General features: G+C 37.7%; 2 annotated features.

Moving 5' to 3' along the window:
• Positions 7,813-8,448: an enhancer, noted in NCBI's record as "OCT4-NANOG hESC enhancer chr1:68930526-68931161 (GRCh37/hg19 assembly coordinates)". NCBI's record gives its function as "activates a minimal SCP1, AML or CMV promoter by ChIP-STARR-seq in naive H9 embryonic stem cells {active_cell/tissue: H9 hESC(naive)}" and the evidence as "EXISTENCE:reporter gene assay evidence [ECO:0000049][PMID:30033119]".
• Positions 12,915-14,114: an enhancer, noted in NCBI's record as "CDK7 strongly-dependent group 2 enhancer chr1:68924860-68926059 (GRCh37/hg19 assembly coordinates)". NCBI's record gives its function as "activates an origin of replication core promoter dependent on BRD2, BRD4, P300/CBP, MED14 and CDK7 cofactors, with strong dependence on CDK7, by STARR-seq in HCT116 cells {active_cell/tissue: HCT116}" and the evidence as "EXISTENCE:reporter gene assay evidence [ECO:0000049][PMID:35650434]".

Raw genomic sequence — 20,319 nt, 5'->3', positions numbered from 1 at the left:
AGGTTTTTGTTGAGTATTAATTAGCATGGGGTAAAGGAAATGACTTGAGTAGTATGTAACAAAGCCAAGGAAGGAATGATTGGAAAGCAGTGAACAGTTCCTGGGTCTCACAGGGCTAAGAATAGTTAACATTCCCATCAGCCAAAATGGAGAAAGCTTGTAATACAGGGGACATTGGGTGACATCCTCAACATGGTTGTGCTTTAGTAGCAGGGCCAAATTAGTTTTAGAATAAAAGCTGCTATGGATTTACTCTAACATTTAAAAGCAAGCCTTAAAATGTTCAAATTGGTCTTCAAGTAGCACTGTGTGCCAGAACAAAGTTTCCCACTCAAGAAACAGCAAAATCCAGCATTCAGCAATGTAAAAATCACAATGTTGATCATCCAATCAAAAATTACTAGACATGCAAAGAAACAAAAAATATGACACAGAGTCAGGAGAAAAAATGAATCAATCAAAACATACCCAGAAATGGTAGAGGTAATGGAATTAACAGGCAAACTTCCAAGGAGTTATTATAAATATAATATTCTAGGATAAAAAAGAAATCAGAAATAAAGTAATAGAAATGGAAGACATAAAAAGGATTCAAATAAAATTCAAAAAAAGAAAAATGCAGTATCCAAATTGAAAAAAATACATGGAATGGGATTAACAGAAAATTAGATACAGCAGAAGAGAGGTTGGTGAATTCAAAAATATCAGTAGAAACTAAAACAATATATAAAGAGAAAACAAAACAAAAAAAAATGAAAGGCGCCTCAGTGAGCTGTGTAAAAACATGAAACATTAACATGTGCAATTGGAGGCTGAGAAGGAAGGGGAAGAACACAAAATTATTGGCCAAAGATAATGACTAATTTTTTTCTAGATGTGATGAAAAACATAAACTCACAGAAGCTAAAGTAACCTCAAGCAAAAAATAAAAAAAAAACAAAACAAAACAAAACATAAAACCACACCAAGGCACATATAATCAAGTTGCTGGAAACCAGTAATAAAAAGAAAAATCTTAACAGTAGCCAGAGACAAAACATATACAGAGTAACAAAAAGTAAGAATGAAGGTAGATTGCTTGTCAAAAACTACGCAATCCAGAAAACAATTGAGTGATATGTGATTGTAGGTTTGCTAAGTTGGCTGGGAGCTGATGTCAGCTTCTTAGGACTACTCCTAGTTTTGTCTTAGATCATGTTCCCCACAATACTGAGACAAATATTTGTGTTTATGAGGTTTACTTGAGAATGACATTTGTAAGAAAGTGATGGAGGTGGGATGGGGCAAAAGAAAAAATTTAACCACAATGCAATTGCAATAAAGGCCTCAGTTGATCCCATGGGGGGTCCTGGAGCTGTGATGACTTTTCAGAATTGTCCCAAATTAAGAAATGGGGCTGGGTCTTTTACCTTCATATAAACCAGTCAATGGATATGGGCTGATCCTGGGGAAGAGATGTAAGCTTGGTAACGTAGTTCCCTTTAGCCAAGCACAGTTCCTAAAGAGGAATGTAGCCAATATTCCTGACAGCTGGAGGAATAAATGACTCAACTCTGAAAGAATCTGTGCAGAACACCCCACATTCACTACTAGGGACCCCTAGCATTAAAACTAAAAAAAAAAAAAAAAAAAAAAAAGGTTTTGTGTTAATATGTAAGAGACAGAAGGAATGAGAACAGTGGTTTTGGTTATCTTAAAATTTAATATTTATTGATTATTTCATATTTAAAAATATATATAGATGATTTGGAAATGAAAGTTTAAATCACTTATAATCTTATCATCCAGATATGATCCTATGAAAATCTTGGAGTAGTCTATCTCCAGAACTTTATATCTCTTAACTACTCAAGAAAAAGTACCTTTTTGTCTTCTAAAGCTTATATGATTAGCTAGGGTTAAAGATTTGCAATAACTTTCCTTAAAAATTCATGAGGCCAGGCGTGGTGGCTCATGCTGTAATCCCAGCACTTTGGGAGGCCGAGGCGGGCGGATCACCTGAGATAGGGAGTTCGAGACCAGCCTGACCAACATGGAGAAACCCTGTCTCAACTAAAAAATCAAAATTAGCCGGGTGTGGTGGCACATGCCTATAATCCCAGCTACTTGGGAGGCTGAGGCAGGAGAATTGCTTGAACCCGGGAGGCAGAGGTTGCGGTGAGCCAACATCACACGATTGCACTCCAGCCTGGGCAACAAGAGCAAAACTCCATCTCAAAAAAAAAAAAAAAAAAATTTCATGGTAACACTAAAAATACAGTGATAAAAGACCTGCCATTTTTGTTTATTACATACAATGTCTCAGACTTTTGTATTCATGTGTTTTCATTAGGTTTCTGATTTATAACTCGGAAATTCCTGCATTCATCTTTAGATCTTAGCAGTCTCCATCTGTCTTCTGATTGCTCAGTAATCTGATCTGTCAGGCAGCACCTTATGCCCAAGCAAAGAATCGGAATCTCTTTCTTTTCTCCAACTTAATGGATCTTCATGTGTCCCATCCACACAGGCTTATAGTCTACCTTTTACTGGATAGAAATGCTACTAAGCATTACTCTACTCATTCATTAAAGTGAAAATTAAATTTCAACATCAACCATAAACTGGAAGGAATTACACAAATTATAAATTACTCAAATATTGGTTGAAATTTAACTTTTGGAATCAGCATTGGATAATTTCTAAAGTAATTCTTTATGCATTTTTTTAAGTGACTCTCAGGCAGCAGTGCCATCTGCAGGCCTCCTCTGATGCAGCTCTTTTTAGTTTATGGAAATTTCTTCTTAAAATGGATTTGGCTCTACTAAATATAGCTTTATAATGTCAAATACAAAGTGATGTTATTCACAAATTTTAAAAAGGTGAATTTACAGGTACAGATCTCTGATAGAAATCTTTTAACCACTAAGCTAATATCGACTGTCTATATTAATAATCAAAATATCAAACATAATGCACAGCATCTGGAATATATATGGAATGAGCACGGATTTTGGGGATCACACAGAACTGCGTTCTTGGGACTCATTACTTACCAGCTGTGTGAAACCTTTAAAATGTTACTTAAACTTTCTGAGATGCAGGCTTTTTATTTAAAATATGGGGATAATATTTTCTTCATTAAATGTTTGAGAGTTCTCAAATGACATGTATAAAGTGCCTAGTACAGAATGTGCATACAGTATGCCTTCAATTGATAATAGTGCCCTTTTCCTTGAAATTAAAACAGAAATATCTCTAGACCATTTATTGCTTTTGTGCCCAGAAAATTTAAAAGTTGTGAACATATCATTGCCCTTTTAGAGAAAATAGAGTATGAAGGAACTGTCTTCCTAGAAAACTTATCCATCTCTTTTCATTCTGACATCCTTTAAAATTTAGCTATAGATGTATATGTTAATACCTGCATAGAATATTACTGTTAGATAGTTATAAGAAATTGATAAATAGTGGTTGCTGAATTTTGGAGCTATAAAAGGGTCTTATTTCTTAATGTGTATATCCTTGGTATTATTTTAATTGCAATCATGTACAATATTACTTTTTGAAAATAAAAACACACAAAAACCACCTAGAAAAGAAAAATATATGAGACTGCCCTTACATTAAAAATGGACGATAAGGCCAAGCATGGTGGCTAATGCCTGTAGTCCCAGCACTTTGGGAGACCGAGACAAGCAGATTGCTTGAACCCAGGAGTTCAAGACCAGCCTGTGCAACATGGTGAAACCCCATCTCTACAAAACATACAAAAAGTAGCCCAGTGGTGTAGGCCTGAAATCCCACCTACTTGGGAGGCTGAAATGGGAGGATCACTGAGCCCAGGGAGCTTGAGGTTGCAGTGAGCCATGATTGCACCACTGCACTCCAGCCTGGGCAACAGAGTGAGACACTGTCTTAAAAAACAAAAACAAAAAAAAAACAAACAGAAAAGATAATTATCTCTCCCCATCTAATCTTTGCTTCTAAGTATAACAAGATATAAAAAAAAGAAAGTTTAAAAGAGCAATTCAGATTTTGTATAAACTTCCTTTGGAATCATAAAATATACTCTTAAGGGAACCTGTATACAATTTTCCTCAAAATTGATTAGAATAAACTACCTATAATTCTCTGAGGAAGCAGAGGCTGAGCTAGATATATTCAACTGCTAGCTCTTTGTCATGTAGTAGACAATGGTTTCTATTTGCAGACTTTTAAACAAAGCACTCTGCCTTGAAGTGAGCCTACCATCTACGTGGAAAACTAACATAAGTACGGTTACCTTGGTACATGCTACAAGGAGACAAGATTCTTTACCTATCTAACAAAATACTTAAGGCATGTTACATGTATTCCTCATACTATGATGATGCAGACATTGCAGGTTAGGCTAGAAGAGATACAATAAAATCTGTGATATCTGGAAGATATAGGTTAGAAGAATTGGTAATTAATTATCTTACCTGTAGTTTCCAAAGACTTCTGAATCAAATTTATTAGACTTTAACATCTACTATGTTATTGCATAGTATCCACAGTAATAGTCACCAATCTCTGCCACCCTTCACCTGACTAAATCAGACTAATTTCTTAGTACTCAGCTGAGGCACCACCTACCCTACTAAGTGGATCTCCTCCTGTGTGTGCTCCCAAAAGACCCTGTATCTGTGTCCATTACTGAACTTACCACATTTTGTTAAAATATTTTGTTTATATGCCTGGCTTCTTCCATCAAACCATGAGTTTCTGGAGAGTAAGAACTTTCTTGTTCATTTTTATTAACTCCAATACCTATCACAGTACCTAGTGAAGTAAATCAAACTATTTCACTCCAAAATATATTTCCTTGACATATTTTGAGATAGCTGTTTAGAAATCCTGTAAACAGAAGTAGCTCTACCAAGCTGTCTTTTGTGGAGGAGATTTACATCTGTAGAGAATCTGCATTGATGCAGGCAGGCCTTCTCTTGTCCAGATCTAGGAAAGATTAACTGAGAGTCAGAACCCTTTAAAGGTCTGAAAGAAACATTTACCATCTATTCTCTTTGAGGGTTACTACCTGTGAGGTTTCATTTATCTAACAAGACCATCTTTGCTAGCCAGGCCTCCTCTTCTCTTCTCTCTCCCATAACATGTCTTGCCAATATAACCTGATTTAACCACCATCATCTGTTTTGGGCCATGCTCTGAGCCCCTATTTTTTCTGTATCCTCCAGACAGTATATGAGCTTCTGAATTTCATCACTCTGTGACTCTCCCCGTGTGCATGCTAATAGATTTATATGCTTTCTCCAAGCTGGCTTTTGTCATGTGATTTTTCAGTGAACCTTCACAAGGTAGATATTTTCCCTTGGCTCCTACATTAACATATACTTAGAAGTTACTCAAAAGATGTTAAATGAAATAAATGGAAGACTGGGTTTGTGTCAGGCCTGTGGCGCCAAAGTCTGTACATAAGAAAGCTTTGACAATGTTTCTGAAAAGTCCTCTTCCATAGTTTCTTGATTTTGATAAAATCAATCAGATTTTTGACTCCTCAGAAGGAAACAGTCAATCCTCATTATTCATAATTCTATATTTGCAAATTCACCTACTTGCTAAAATGGATTTGTAACCCCCAAATCAGTACTTGCAGCACTTTCATGGCTATTCAAAGACATACCCAGAGTGGTGTAATATTTGAGTCACCCAACATACACATTTCTTATCAAAGTCAAACAAGGTGATATTCTACCATCTTGTTTCAGCTCTTCTACTGTAAACAAGTGTCCTTTTTGAGGTGTGTTTAGTGCCACATTTTTCTGCTTTTTGTTGCCCATATCACTGTCTGAAATGGCCACAAAGTCTGGTTCTGAGATACTGTCTAGAGTCCCTGAGGACAAGGCCAATGTGCCTTACTAACAGAGAAAACGTATATGTTAGATAAACTTCATTCAGGTCTGAGTTATAGTGCTGTTGGCTGTGCATTCGATGTTAATGAATCAGCAATATACATAAAATAATGTGTCTTTATAATAGAAATAAATATAAAATAAGGTAATGTATTGATTCATTGATAAAAATGTTGGGCTTACAGTAGCCTAATCTTGTGTATCGGCTAGGAGCAAAAGTTCAGTATTCACTAATTCAGTATTTGCAGTGACTTTATAGAACATAACTTCTACAAATAATGAGAATCAATTGTAGTACCATATGTTTACAAAACAGTGGAGGTATCATGGTTGATTTGTTTTTCCTAAATATTTCTATATTTTCCAAATTTATAATCATGAATATGTACTAATTTTATGACAAGGAATAAAGCTTTTAAAAACAGAGACACTGTTTGTGATACTGTAGTATGAGTAAAAAGTAATTATGTAGCAGTCAGATCTAGGTTTGAGTCACCATTCTGCCACTTACTACCTATGTAACTTTGGAAAAGTTGTTTAACTTTTCATAACCTATTTCCCCATTTGTAAAACCAGGATAACACTATGGGACTTTATTCTGAGGATTAGAAACAATATAGCTAAGTTATCCAGCTCAATATTTAGCATACAATGGACATGCAATAAAAATGCAGGTATGAATATTATTAACTTTCTCCTATGATTAAACTACAGAAAATCTAGCCTCAATGGCTCACACATCTTTGGGAAATCATGACTTTTATCCTAGTTATTATCCCCATTCATAAGCACAAATTTTACAAACTCAATGCCTCAGCTTCTCATCCCTTATGTTCATTCTATCATTTTTTTTTAAGAGAGACAGGGTCTCACACTGTTGCCTAGGCTGCAGTGCAGTGGTACAATTATAGCTCATTACAGCCTCCAACTCCTAGGCTTAAGTGACCCTCCTGCCTCAGCCTCTGTAGTCACTGGGACCACAGGTACACACCACCACGCCTGATTAATTGTTGTTTTATTTTTCATAGAGATGGAGTCTTGCTATATTGTCCACTCCTGGCCTCAAGTGATCCTGCTGTTTCAGCCTCTCAAAGCGATGGGATTACAAACATGAGCCATCACACCCAGCTTATCAACTGTTTTTGAGTGTTCATGATGGGCAGGAACTATACTAACGTTGATTAAAATAGACAAGGGTCTTGCCTTGGTTCTTGCCATGGGTTAAAACATGTAATTTAGACTTTTGTAGGAGAACTATAGTGATTTTCACTTCCACTTACATACCCCTTTGAATACTGGGATATAGGGTTAAGACAATTAACCATAAAATATAGCATATTCTAAAAAATGCTTCTTTTTCAAATAAAGTCCCATCAAGTATTTGCTCAGGGACCACCCCAGTTGTTTGTTCTTTAAACTGCTTAATATGTGTGGCATTGGAGTGTTTGATTTTCTTTCAAACAATAATTCTCCAAAGCATGTTCCACATGTTCCCTTTCTTTGAGAGTTCATGACATTCTCCTCTTTCTTTCTGACAACCTGGGCAGATTAACATAGCAATACACTTACACTAGGTTAGTCTGCGATGGTCAACAGGACCTGACTAGTGTACACATTTAACATTTCTAAAATGAAAACTATTTCTAAAAGGAGTTTTTGAGAATAACTGAATTCATACCCCAGTTACATTTAATAAGGTTGATTTAACTTGAACAGAATTAGTGACAGAATTTATGCTTCTAAAACTAAACTACACAATGGGAAGTTCCCCTTGACCTCCCATACAGGGAGGGGTAGCAGTGTGTTTCTGTGTTTCTCCTTACTTCTGTGTTTCTCTGCCAGTCATGATCTGCCCACCTGTGTTGCCCTGTTCCTTGGTGTAGGGGCATTTGAAGTGTCACTTCCTGTGTTCTCATATTTTGTCCAAGAGGCAGAAAAATTCTCTCCACCTATGGCCCAGTGTCCTGTTGCTCCCATGAACAGAACAGTTTGCTCCCCTCTCCCGTGGGATGCAGCCCTTCTGCATTTGTCTATTTGATCTTATCTCAGCTTTTAAGTTGCGTTCTGTGTCTCTCTACCTTACATTATCATGTCCTCTCTCTGCATATTCTCTTCTGCTTCAGTGCTCCACCATGTTGGAAAGACTATTTACCTTTGGGAAATGATTTTATTTTGCCACCAGGAAACCACTCCTTTCCCCTAGTGTTTCTTCTCTCACACGCCACGGATCCCGAGAACAGGACACAATAAGTAGATTTTCTTCATTCCAGAGCATCCTGGGCCATAGCTACACAGCAGGGATCAAAGCAGGCACACATCAAAAGCAACCCTGCTGAGAAATGCGGCCCTGAGGCTTCAGCGCCTCAGGCTCATTATCCTCACTGCCTGAAAGTCATGTATATCTCATCTCGTCTTCCCCTTGTCTGCTGTTCCTTCTCCACACCCAGCAGAGATCCACTCTTTACTAAACTTTCTTAACAACTCAAGATAAAAACTCTTTCCCCTTCTCTTCCCCTGCTTCTTCCTCTCCTAATTAACTGATAAACAATTTCAGTGATACTCACATGTTCACTTAACATTTCTTAAACCCTTACTTTGTGCCAGGTACTATGTTAAGTGATGGGGCTAGAAAAATGAACGACACCTTCCCTGCTCTCAAATAGCTTTTTAACTAATGGAGCAAGACAGGCAACACCTAAACAGATCTATATAGTGTGATGAAGTTGGTGGTAGAGGCAGGCACAGATCTTTTGAGAGTAAATGGGAGAGGCCCCATTTCTTATACAAGGTGATGCCCTTGCTGAATATTTTGCCAGACAAAGGGTGTAGAGATGTAGGGAAGGGGAATGGGGGTGTATGTCCTGGCAGACAGCTGGAAATCAAAAGGGTGAGAATAGCAGAGGTGCTCTGAGGTGGGGAGGGTAATAGAAGAAGGTCAGGATTGCTGAACTATGTATTTGTAGCAGGGAATTACTAGAGATAGGGCTAGCAAGAAAGAACATCACAGAAATTCATTTGAGTCATATTCAAGAACTTCAACTTTATCCTGTACAGATGAGCTTTATGGCCAGGTGCAGTGGCTTACACCTGTATTCCCAGCACTTCGGGAGGCCAAGGCAGGTGGATCACCTGAGGTCCGGTGTTCAAGACAAGACTGGCCAACATGACAAAACCTCTTCTCTACTAAAAATACAAAAATTAGCCCAGTGCAGTGGCGTGTGCCTGTAGTCTCAGCTACTGGGGAGGCTGAGGCAGGAGAAACACTTGAATCTGGGAGGGCGAGGTTGCAGTGAGCCATGAACACGCCACTGTACTTCAGCCTGGGTGACAGAGAGAGACTCCAACTCAAAAAAAAAAAAAAAAAGAAAGAAAGAAAAGAAAAATAAGCTTTACTAAAATATAACCTCCTTTGGTAGGTAGAATAATGGGGCCCCAAATCAGTCCACATCCTAATGTCCAAAACCTGCGATTATGTTACCTTACGTGATAAAATAAAACTTTGCATAAGTGATTAAAGTGAGAATTCTGAGGTGAGGAAATTATCCTGGATTATCTGGATGTACTCAATATAATCACAAGAGTCCTTATAAGAGGAAAGCAGGAGGATCAGTCAAAGAGAGAAGGTGTAGAGATGGAAGCAGAAATCAGAGAGGAGAGAAGATGCTGTGCTGCTGATTTAACAGAGGGAGGAGGGTGCCACAAGCCAAGGACTATAAGCAGCCTCTAGAAACTGGAACCAGCAAGGGAACATCTTATCCCCCAGGGGCTTCAGAAAGAGTTTGTTGTGACAGATGCTGGGAATTTGCCAGATGGACAAGGGAAGGAAAGGAGGTCCAAGCAAAGGGCTAGATGGGGTGAAGAAAGGGAAGCCTGAAACTATTTTAGACTTCTGAACTCCAGAACTATAAGATAATAAATTTGTGTTGTTTTGAGCCACTTAAATGTGTGGTAATTTGTTACAGCAGCAATTGGAAACTAATACATTCTTTGAGAGCAGGAATTTTTGTTTCACTTGCTGCTGTATCTCTAGTGCCTGAACACTGTCCAGTACATAGAAGACACTCAGTAAACATTTGTAAAGTGAGTGAGGGAGGGAGGACTCACAATGAGGAACCCACAGAGAAGACCTGAGGCCTAACTACTGAGTCCTCAGTGCATAGCATGTGACTGTTTTGCCCCACCATCTTGACCTAATGTGCTTTTCCATTAGTATTCAAGGTCATATGCCAGGGAATAATTGAACACACAGGACAGATAGGACCCATCTTTCTGCAGAATCAATTTGTCATAACATTTTGGAGAAGAAAAAGGATGTACTCATGTAAACATAGTATTTTATGTGGTAGGCTATATGAATTTTTAAGAAACTTCAAAGAAATGTGGTCCCTCCAGCCGGTGGCCTCTGGCTAGGTCTTAAACATGGAGCATCTTTTGGTGAAGAGAGTTGAGAAGCGCATGAATACTGTTAATGATGGGAAAATCCCCACTCAGGCAGAGCTGCTCTCTTAAGCTCTCCACGTGTTATTCTCTTCTGTCTTATGAGAAGAGTTTCTGAGCATTTTTCTTTACTATGTTTCCAAAATTGATATTCATTTGCTATGGTTTGCCTTTCTTATTACTCTGCTACCACCTTGTAAATCAAGGTTTACAATGATCTATATGATCTTTTACAAATCGCTTAACCTCTTTGGGTCTTAGTTTCTTCACCTGTAAACTGAGTATTTTCCACCAAGAGATCTTTAAGGTCTACCTCAAATTTTAAATTATGTGATAATATGTTCTATAGGATTAGTTAACTGCTAATAATAGGTGGCTCAGAGCAAAGCAAATATTTATTTCTTAATGCCTGTTCCTTATTTTTAATTATAGTTTGTATCAGGTAACTATTTTTGCATTAAACAGCCACCCCAAAATTTAGAGACTTAAAAGTAATGAACACTTATTTAGCTCACAATTCTGTAGGTGATCAATTTCACCTGGAATCTGAAGGGCACGTTTTCTGGTCTTGGCTGCTATAGAATGGCCTCAGCTGAAATGTCTCATTTCTGCTTCATGTGGTCTCTTATTCTCTAGCAGGTTACCCTGGGCTTTTTCTCAAGACAGAGGCAAAATCTCAAAAGACAGAGTGGAATTGTTCAAGGCCTGCAGAAGATTAGGCTTGGAACTGGTGCACTGTCCCTTCCACTGCATTTTACTGGCCTAAGGAAGTCACATGGCCAGCCCAGATTTAAGAATTGGAAAAATAGACTCATCTCTTGATAAGAGGAGTTGCCCAGACACATTGCAGAGAGCATGGAAATAGGGAAAATATAAATTTGGGCCACCATTTCTGTCAATCTTCCCCATTGTCCAATGATTTTTTTCTTTCTTCCCTATAGTATCTTAGCTACTCTCATTCTTAACTGACAATAATAATAATAATAATAGCTAACAATTTACTGAGAACTTGTTGCCAGACACTATTTTTAGCACTTTACATTAATAATTTATTTTTTACAAGAATTCTTTGAGGTAGGTACAATTATTCTTGGTATATTACAATGAAGAAACTGAGGAACAGGAAGGTGAAACAATTTACCTTTGCACCAGGAAACAAAAGGCCTCAGAGGATAAATTCTGTGATGATGATGATAATTTAATAGCAATCTCTGGATCATCTGAGAACATGAACACCTTTACAGAGCTCCTGTCACACCAAAAGGCATTTCTTTTCCACAAGATTCAGAGGCTAAACCACTTGAGGAAGTGAAGTTGTCCTATCATTGTTAAAGAGATATTTGTACATTTACCATCTAAGCCAGAAAACAAAAACAAAGTAACGACAACAACAACAACAACAAAACCCTTTTCAATCATTTGTAATGGGAAGAATTCCTCTGCATAAGATTTCCTCACCATCTTTATGGAATCCGTTTTAATTTCAGCATTATGTATCAAGTGACAATGGTGCTGGGCACTGGGCATATTAAGATCCACAGGGACTTTGCGTTTGACATATTAAACTCAACTGATTAGACAATTCTAGAGGAAGCACCAAATAAGAAAGTCTACAGCAGTGAGCCTGTCCTCAGAGCCACTAACGTCACTCAACAACCTCAACTTTGAAGTCTTCTCTGTCCAGTAAGTCCAAGATCCTCTGCCTTTATGTCTGATCTGCTTCTGTTTAGAGCTTGCCTTTTAAACTTTTCCTTCTTTGAAACAGCTATCAATACACTCTACTGTGTCTGCCTTGTTTCAGTTAGCTCACATTTCCTACTCTAGTGTTTCTCAACCTTGCGTAATATATTAAAACACACCTAAAGAGTCACAATCTTCAGGAGAGAACCGTATCTCTAACAAGTGCCACTGGTGAGTCTTATAATCACGTAGATTTGGTAAATCCTGCCATACCTATTAACTAGATTGACTTTAAATACAGTCTAATTCTGATGGGCTTAATTGGATCCTAAAAGCTGGGTTCATGAAAATTGGTTTCCGTGGTGAGAAGTAAACTTTGCCTGGGAACTCAGCCTGGGCATTCTGTTTCAACGTGTTGGGTATAGCCCAACCAGGAGGCAAAACCTAGGGTTCTCATTCCTAATAATTAAATGTGATGTGGAAAATTGCTAACTGGTATCCATATAGGCTACACATGGGCTGTTGGAAATAAACATTCTCTGGTGGCAGAAAAGAATAAGACTGATAAATATAAAAACAAATATGCTCTAATATGCCTAAAATCTAGTTGCTATATGCTATAACAATGCCATTTCAATTTTGACTGAATTGAAAGTAAAAGTAATGAGACCCCTCAGGTTTTTACTATAGGTTAGATTACTAATCTTTTTGAAATTTAATATCCCAATATGTAAAATGGGAGATTTGGATGAGATTATCTCTAAACTCCTTTAAAGACAAGAATCTTGGATTCCAAGAGTCAGTTTAGTGAAACAAAATATAACAAGTCATGGACATGACTGAAAAGTTTATTGAATTGATTGCAGTTTTACTATACTGATTAATTAATATGATAAAGACCAATAAATCCATCTGTTTCTACAAGCCCAGCTAATATTTTTCATTTAATCCAAGTTTTGATATGAAAGAGGAAAGAAGAAGGAATTCCTTGTCATTCCTTTACTTCTCGTTCCAGACCTGAAAGGGTCCCGTGCTCGAACGATTGTTGAAATAGTGCTCACCTATTTCAAAGTGCAGGAATTCCTTTAATGTCCTTCAGAAAATCGGCTGGGCATATTGGCTCATGACTGTAATCCCAGGACTTTGGGACGCTGAAGTGGGGGGATCATTTGAAGCCAGGAGTTCCAGATCCACCTGGGCAACATAGAGAGATCCCCATCTCTACAAAAATAAAAATAAACAAATTAGCTAGGCATGATGGCATGTGCCTTTAATCCTAGTTACTGGGGAGGGTGAGTCAGAGGGATTGCTTTGTTCTAATAGTTTGAAGTTGCCATGAGTTATGATCACCACTGTACTCTAGCATGGGCAAAAGGGCAAAATTCTGTCAGAAGAAAGGAAGAGAGGAAGAGAGGAAGGGAGGAAGGGAAGAAGGGAGGAAGGAAAAGAAAGAAAGGGAGGGAGGGAGGGAAGGAAGGAAGGAGCCACCCTGCTTCTTCTACCCCATTTCAAATTTTAACTTTACTGATTATTTCAAATCTGTTATCATGTGCTAATTATGAATTTTGCAGCCGTAATAATCTAAGGTAGATCTTTTGAATGTAACAGTTGAAATGTAATTTCAGTGCAATTGGAACCTTTCTAAATCCAGTTGTTAAAAGAATTCCTAGTTAAACAAAACATCTCTAATTAATGAATGCAAAAAATAATAATTTTGGTATTGAAAAACTTGTCCTCACAAAAAGAAATGAAATAGGAACTTAATAGTAGATTATTCAGACAAAAAAATAAAGTGTTCATTTAGAAGTATGAACATCAGCGATCAAAGTGTTTTTTAAGGCCAAGATTCTTTGGGTAATTGCCTTAACTGCACACAGCTTGTGCAGAAATGATTAACTTAGCTAAAGAAAGATTATGAGGGATTTACAGTGGAAAAAAAATTGCTAGCAGACCTGATTGAGTGTGAATTTCTGCATTTACAGATTGATGTCAGAGAATGACGTTGTAGCAGTTTCATGAAATATTTCACAGCTTTAATGCACATTTTTGTGCTGTTATCAGCAGCTGCAAACTAATCATCACAGCCTGCATGGTAAACTATTAGAATCTACTAATCTGCCCACCACCCAGCTTTTTTAAATCCTCATATGCAAGATAAGCAGATTCTGGAAATAACTAATTTAACAAGTCTGATTTAGGCATCCTTAATGGATTATAGTCTGCTATTTTACCTTTTCATAATTACATTTGATGTCTTATCAAATGTTTCACCAAATGCTTAATTATAAAATAAGATTAAAGCCTAATAACTTACACATAACCTTACCACATTTTCTCTTATATGTGGCTTTTCTCCTTCTCTTCTCCTGTGTGTTCTTGTCCTATTTTATCGTTTGCATACAAGGACCTTCAAAATACAACTAATTCTGGCAGAGGTTTTCAAATCGAACTCTCTTTTATAGACTTGATTGGAATTTAAGGTATTGAACATGACTTGAATAGCTTGGCCTGAGCTAAAACATTTTATTCCACAGATATTTTTTAAAAATAACCTGCTTGCCCATTCTCTATAATAGCCCAAGTCCATCCATTTGGTTATAAAATACCCACTTTGCTGAACAGGCAGTTTTAGAGGACACCTCTTGGGAAATGGGAATTCTCTTTATAAACCATAATAATAACATCCTCATCAGATATAGATATTTCTATGGAGAATGGCTTACCTTTTCTTTTCCAGCTTGCCTTTCAGACTAATTTTACTGATGGTGAATTAGCCTTGAGAAGGATACATGAGGTACTGTTCATTCATCTATTTATTCATTCATTTCTCAACATTATTCGAGATCCTAGGGACAGATACAAGGATCTTGCTGCCATGGACATGGTACACAATTAGTTGCTGTCCTTTTTTGCCTCAGCATTTTTTGCCACATAGCTGTATTGACCATATTGTGAAGTAAGTACTGAATAATACACAAGTAGACACATAATTAGCTTCTGTCTTCTTTGAATTTAGTGGATTCAAATAAGTGAATAACTGTTCACTTGTTTAAATGTGAAGCCAAAAGAACTGGAAAAATAAAGTCATCACTAGAAGATTATTATTAGAACTTTAGAAAACATATATGGAACTTAACATATTATAACACACCACCCTCAGTGGGGGGTTGAGAATGAATGCACTGGCCATTCAATTGAGAGATGTCAGGGCAATTAGCTAAAAGTAACCAAAAGACTCATTTATCCAAAATAACTTCCTTGACCATCAATTTTGATACAAAAAATTCATACTGTCCGTTTACCTATTCATTCACTGATACCTACTATATGCTCTGTAGTTTGCTAGACAATGGGAATAAAAGACTAAATAAGATACCCTGGTCCTGACTCTAGAGAAGTTTACAAACTGGTTGGAGAAAGAGATGAATACATTGCCAGTTACAAAATAATGAAACAAGTGCTATAACAGGGACAGCATAAGGCTATAATGTAACACAAGTCGTATGTTGTGTATTTTTTGGTTATATTGCCTGTTGCCTCACTAGGATGAAGTTTGATTTAAAAAAAGGAATTTGTCTTCTATTTCACTGCCATATACATAGGATATGACAGGAAACATTTATAGTTTATAAATCTAACAGTAGTCTTTCTTAGGTTTCTTACCTCCTATATTATTTAACTTCCACTACCACCATATCATACCTAATGATTTTAGTCATGAAACTTTATCATCTCATTTTCTCATATCTAAAGATTCACAGCATAAATTCTTCCCACCCTGACACACTGTTCTATATGAAGGTCAGACAGTTCTCTGAAATTATTTCAAAACAAGTCTTCATCAATTTATGAACTTCAGCTTCCAACTAAGATTGAGCACTAGGGACCATAGTTGGTCTGTGCCTAAAATAATTTAAAAATAAAACAACAGTGTTTAAGATACAAGACATCAGAAAATAAAGAACAATAATCACTAAACAAGGTGAAAGCCATCCGATTGCAACATCTTAGTGTTATAAAAAGTTTCCAGGCTGTGATATGCAAGAAGTGAGCATAGATAAAGCCAGCCAACACACTTTCGAAGTTGAGGAGATGAAGCTGAGAATCTAGAAAGAATGAGGTGACTAGGATTTACTTATTAAGTAATGAGTTCTACAATACAGTGACAAATTAACAGGGGCACTACTCTCAAGAAACTCTCTAGGTAGGGAATCAAACATAAAAACAGATAATAAATACACACTGGTAAAAAGAAAAATAAATATAAGTGTGGACATTCAGTCCATTTATTAATAACTCTCTCTTATTAGGAAGCCTATTCTTTATTGTCTGAAAAGGCCCCCTCAAGCAATCTATTAATTCCAAAAAATTCCATAAACTGGCTCAGCACAGCCAGAATTCCTAATGCTATTAGAATAGCTCTTTGTCTGATACCTACAGTAAGAGGTTAAGTGGTTTTAATCTACACTTGAGGTTCTTTGATCAAATAAACCAGTTCTCTGGTCCAAAGAGTCCAAAGAGTCAGGGAGAAGGGTCTCTTTTCCTAGAAGATTTCAGCCTCCCATTCTTCTTAGCATTTGCACTGACTGTCATGACCTGAGAACTTCCAAGTGTACCATAGGCCTTCAATAGCTGAGCCACCATTAATCCAATACGGCTGACCCAGAATCCTCTTTTGTGCTTTTTTTTGGTGGATGTGAATCAAGAGCTGATTAACTAAAATCAGAGTACAATCAAGATTTTAAGTAAAATACTTCAAATTCTTTTTAAAAAAATCATTAAGCACTCATTTATAAACAAAACTTTTACTCTTGCCTGCTCAGTTCATTCAGGCAGCTCTTCTAGTGGGCCTCTACTAACTTAGTCAACCATCAACAAATTTTAAGCTCTTGTACTGATGCCCTAAGCATAATGAAGCAGAAGTGTTGCAGGAAGCCTGCTGCCAGGCGCTACCTTTTCAAAACATTAAATGTCAAAACATATCACACTCAAGCCAGAGACCACAAGTAATTTTGATGTTTATTACTCACACAGGCAGTGGAAGGCAAGAAGGATTCTCTAAATGAGAGATGAAACCCACCAGCAAGAGGGCACTCTGACATCCACTAGAGGGGGGAAAATAGAAAGATACATGGCCAGGGCTATCCCTAGGTCCCTCTTCCCCATGACATTTTTGAATGATGCCTGGGCAGACTAAGTTCTGGCAGTGGTGGAGAGACAAGAGGAGCAGGGAAGGTTGCCTTGCATGTGATTTATGGGTGTGAAGCAGAAGTGAGTGCAAAGCTTTGCTAGTCTGTCCATTTTCCCCTGAGGGAACAGGTGGCTGTCTCCAGTTTCCACCCTGACAGGTATTGAACAGTTTAGCCAAATATCAATGTGCTAAGCATGACAATTCTATTTCTCTACAATAAGCAAGAAGAGCAAGACAGACATGCTAACGAGTGAAATAATATAATGTGGTCTAGACATATATGAGTTTCAGAAAAAGAACAAAGGATACCATCCTGTCTGAGGCATTCCAGGAAGGTTGTACTCTATCAGGGTTATGACAGACACTGGGAATTTGACAGACGGGCAAGAGAAGGAAGGGAGGCCCAAGCAAAGGGCTCAACAAAGTGAAGGGAGGCCTGAAACAATATGCAATCCATGAGAGACAGTGGCCAGCTTGGTACTGCCAGAGCACAAAGGAAAGGGGAAAATGGCAGATGATGGCACTAAGAAGCCAGCAGGGGACAAGATGGGAAGGATCTTATAGCTGTGCTAAAGTGATTGGACTTTATTGAGTAAGTTCTGTAGACCTCTTAAAAACCTCAAGGAAGGAAGATGGTCAGATTTTCCTTTAAAAGAATGCCTCTGGCAGTATGGTTGGGAATGAGTTGAAGAGAGATTTCAACCCTTCCCAGCTAACTTTCCAGCAAGTCAGCTGGGAAGCCTCCAGGATCATCTGTCTATAAGGAGTACTAAAGTATCATTGAGCATGTAATGAAAATGAGAAAATTATATTTGCTAGAACTTCTATATGTGGATGGAAGAAATACTTATAAAATGTAGGCTCAGACTACTTTGGGTCAAATCCTACCTCTACTGAGAAAATTCCTTCAGGGTAGGTAGCATGAGGGCTGCTATTGGGGAAGGAGCAAGAGGGACAAGTAAGTGTCTTGGAGAAGATGAATGTCTTACAGGCTTCTCACATCTCACGTTTAACTGAGAATTCGTAATATACCCATTTCCACTCAGCAATTTCTCCCCTAGTCCTGGAGACTAGTTTGACAGTCATTCAATTGCTCTTTCTAAAACCTAGAAATCGAATTTGGGTCTCCCATGTGCTGAAAAAATGCTTTCAATTCTACATCCTTCCCTGTTTTCATGACCTCTGCAGTGTGACACTGTAGTCCTTCTCACTGAAGACTACCAAGGTCAAAGCTATTTTCACCCCACTCAAAGTCTAAGCTGGCCACATGACTTGTTTTGGCTAGTAGAAAGTGGTGAAAGTGACAGTAGATCAGTTCTGAGCCTAGGCCTTAAGCGGCTTCTCCTGTTATCACTTGCTCTTTCATTTGTCATTGCCAGGGGAATAAGCCCTGGCTGGCCTGCTGGAGAGGAGAGGTATAGCAGAGCCAAATAACCTCACTTATTTCAGCCAGTATCTAGACAGCAAGGTAAACTCCAGTTATGAAAGCAAATTAAGACATATTGCAGATACACCTAGCCAACCACCCGAGAAACTTACTCTTGTGTGACACTGAGGTTTGCTGTTTGGCTTTTATGCTACAATGTTAGCAATAGATAGGTGATGATCTTTAACTCATTTTCTTATATCCCATATATATCAACCTATCATGTGTCCTATAATTTCTACCTACAAAACATATCTCAAATCTTTCAATCTTTTTTCCATATGCATTGCTCTACTGTAATCTAAGCACCATCATCACCTCACCTGAAATGAACTGCCAGTTTCCCTACTTCCTTTCTAGACACTTATAATCCATTCTTCAAATACCAGTGGGAGTGATTTTTTTCCAAAACATAAATCAGATCCCTCAGTCATTCCCCTGTTTAAAGCCCTGAATATCTTCCCATTGCTCTCAGAACTCAATCCAAACTCCTCACCATGACCTGCAGGCCCCAGCTGATCTGCCTAATATCAGGATGAAAAAGCAGCTTTTATAATACCCTCTAAACCAGTTTCTTCAAAGAAATGTGGAATCAGTTTCTATTTAGAAATCTCTGTAGAAAGGTGTTTTGCTATTTTAATTCATGGAATATTATTTTGGTAAATACACCAAAGTATGTCAAAATAACAGTTTCTTAGGCAGACACAGAAATTGGACATAAAGATCTGATTTTACCAAAAGACAAAAAATTAAGGTGGGGAAGGAATAAAAGGAGATGATGAAAAGAGAAGTAACAATACATTGGGGATCCGGTGTATCACACTGAAACCACAGAAAGATAAAGTTAGACCTAGAAAAGAGGTCTACATTTGAGGATATAGGAGCAAAGAGGTCAAAATCATGCTTTGAAAGGATGTGGACATCTGATCTTTAACTTCACACCAATGGCAGAATAAGAAAAAAATGGGTTACTTCTGAGGTAGGAAGTAGTAGCTAGAAGATTAGACACTCTCAAACTTCCTGAGAATTGACATTAATAAGCATTACTTAATATTCATATGGAATACTTCTGGCTAAAGAATGCTTTTGCATATTTTCCCTGTCTTATACCTGAGGAGCTCAGGGTTCAATGAAATTTAATACACAGAAATTAGTTTTCATCCTGAATTTCTCCAAGCGTACTAATTTGATGATTCATATGGCCTACGGGTTTGTGAGCATTCCTAGAATGAATTGCCATGATTTGTACTTTTAAAAGAAATATCCTTCAAGAAGCTGACTTCTAGGATCTATACGTTGAAGCATAAAGGATACCACAGACGCAAAACAATGCAAAAAGTGCTAAAACCAGTTGCTGTTCTTAAACAATGTGGTTATAGCCCCAGAACACCAAAGGCAGCACAGGGATATCTAAGAAAGGCACTTGGTGCAGACACGGGCACCAGCAAGACCGGATTCTCATCTCCCAGGAGGTGAACTTAAATGCAGTTTGTTAATGCTCTCTCTCTCAACTAGTATACGCTTTCTTTCCGACAAAGACTTCTCTTTCAGCCTCTTGTAATGGGAGGGGAGAGGTGAAAATTTTAAAAAGCTGCTGGGTCTTGATATTAGTGGAATTTCTCTCCAATGAACTGACAGTGTACAGGTATGACAACATGGCCTGTAGCTCTTCTCGAAGAGAAGAGACTGCTGAGAAAATAAAATCCAACAAA

The sequence above is a fragment of the Homo sapiens genome, chromosome 1 (genome assembly GCF_000001405.40).
Source record: "Homo sapiens chromosome 1, GRCh38.p14 Primary Assembly".
In the NCBI taxonomy this organism is placed as follows: domain Eukaryota; kingdom Metazoa; phylum Chordata; class Mammalia; order Primates; family Hominidae; genus Homo; species Homo sapiens.
The sequence above is the reverse complement of the archived record's forward strand: the minus strand, read 5'-3'. Positions and strand labels throughout refer to the sequence as shown.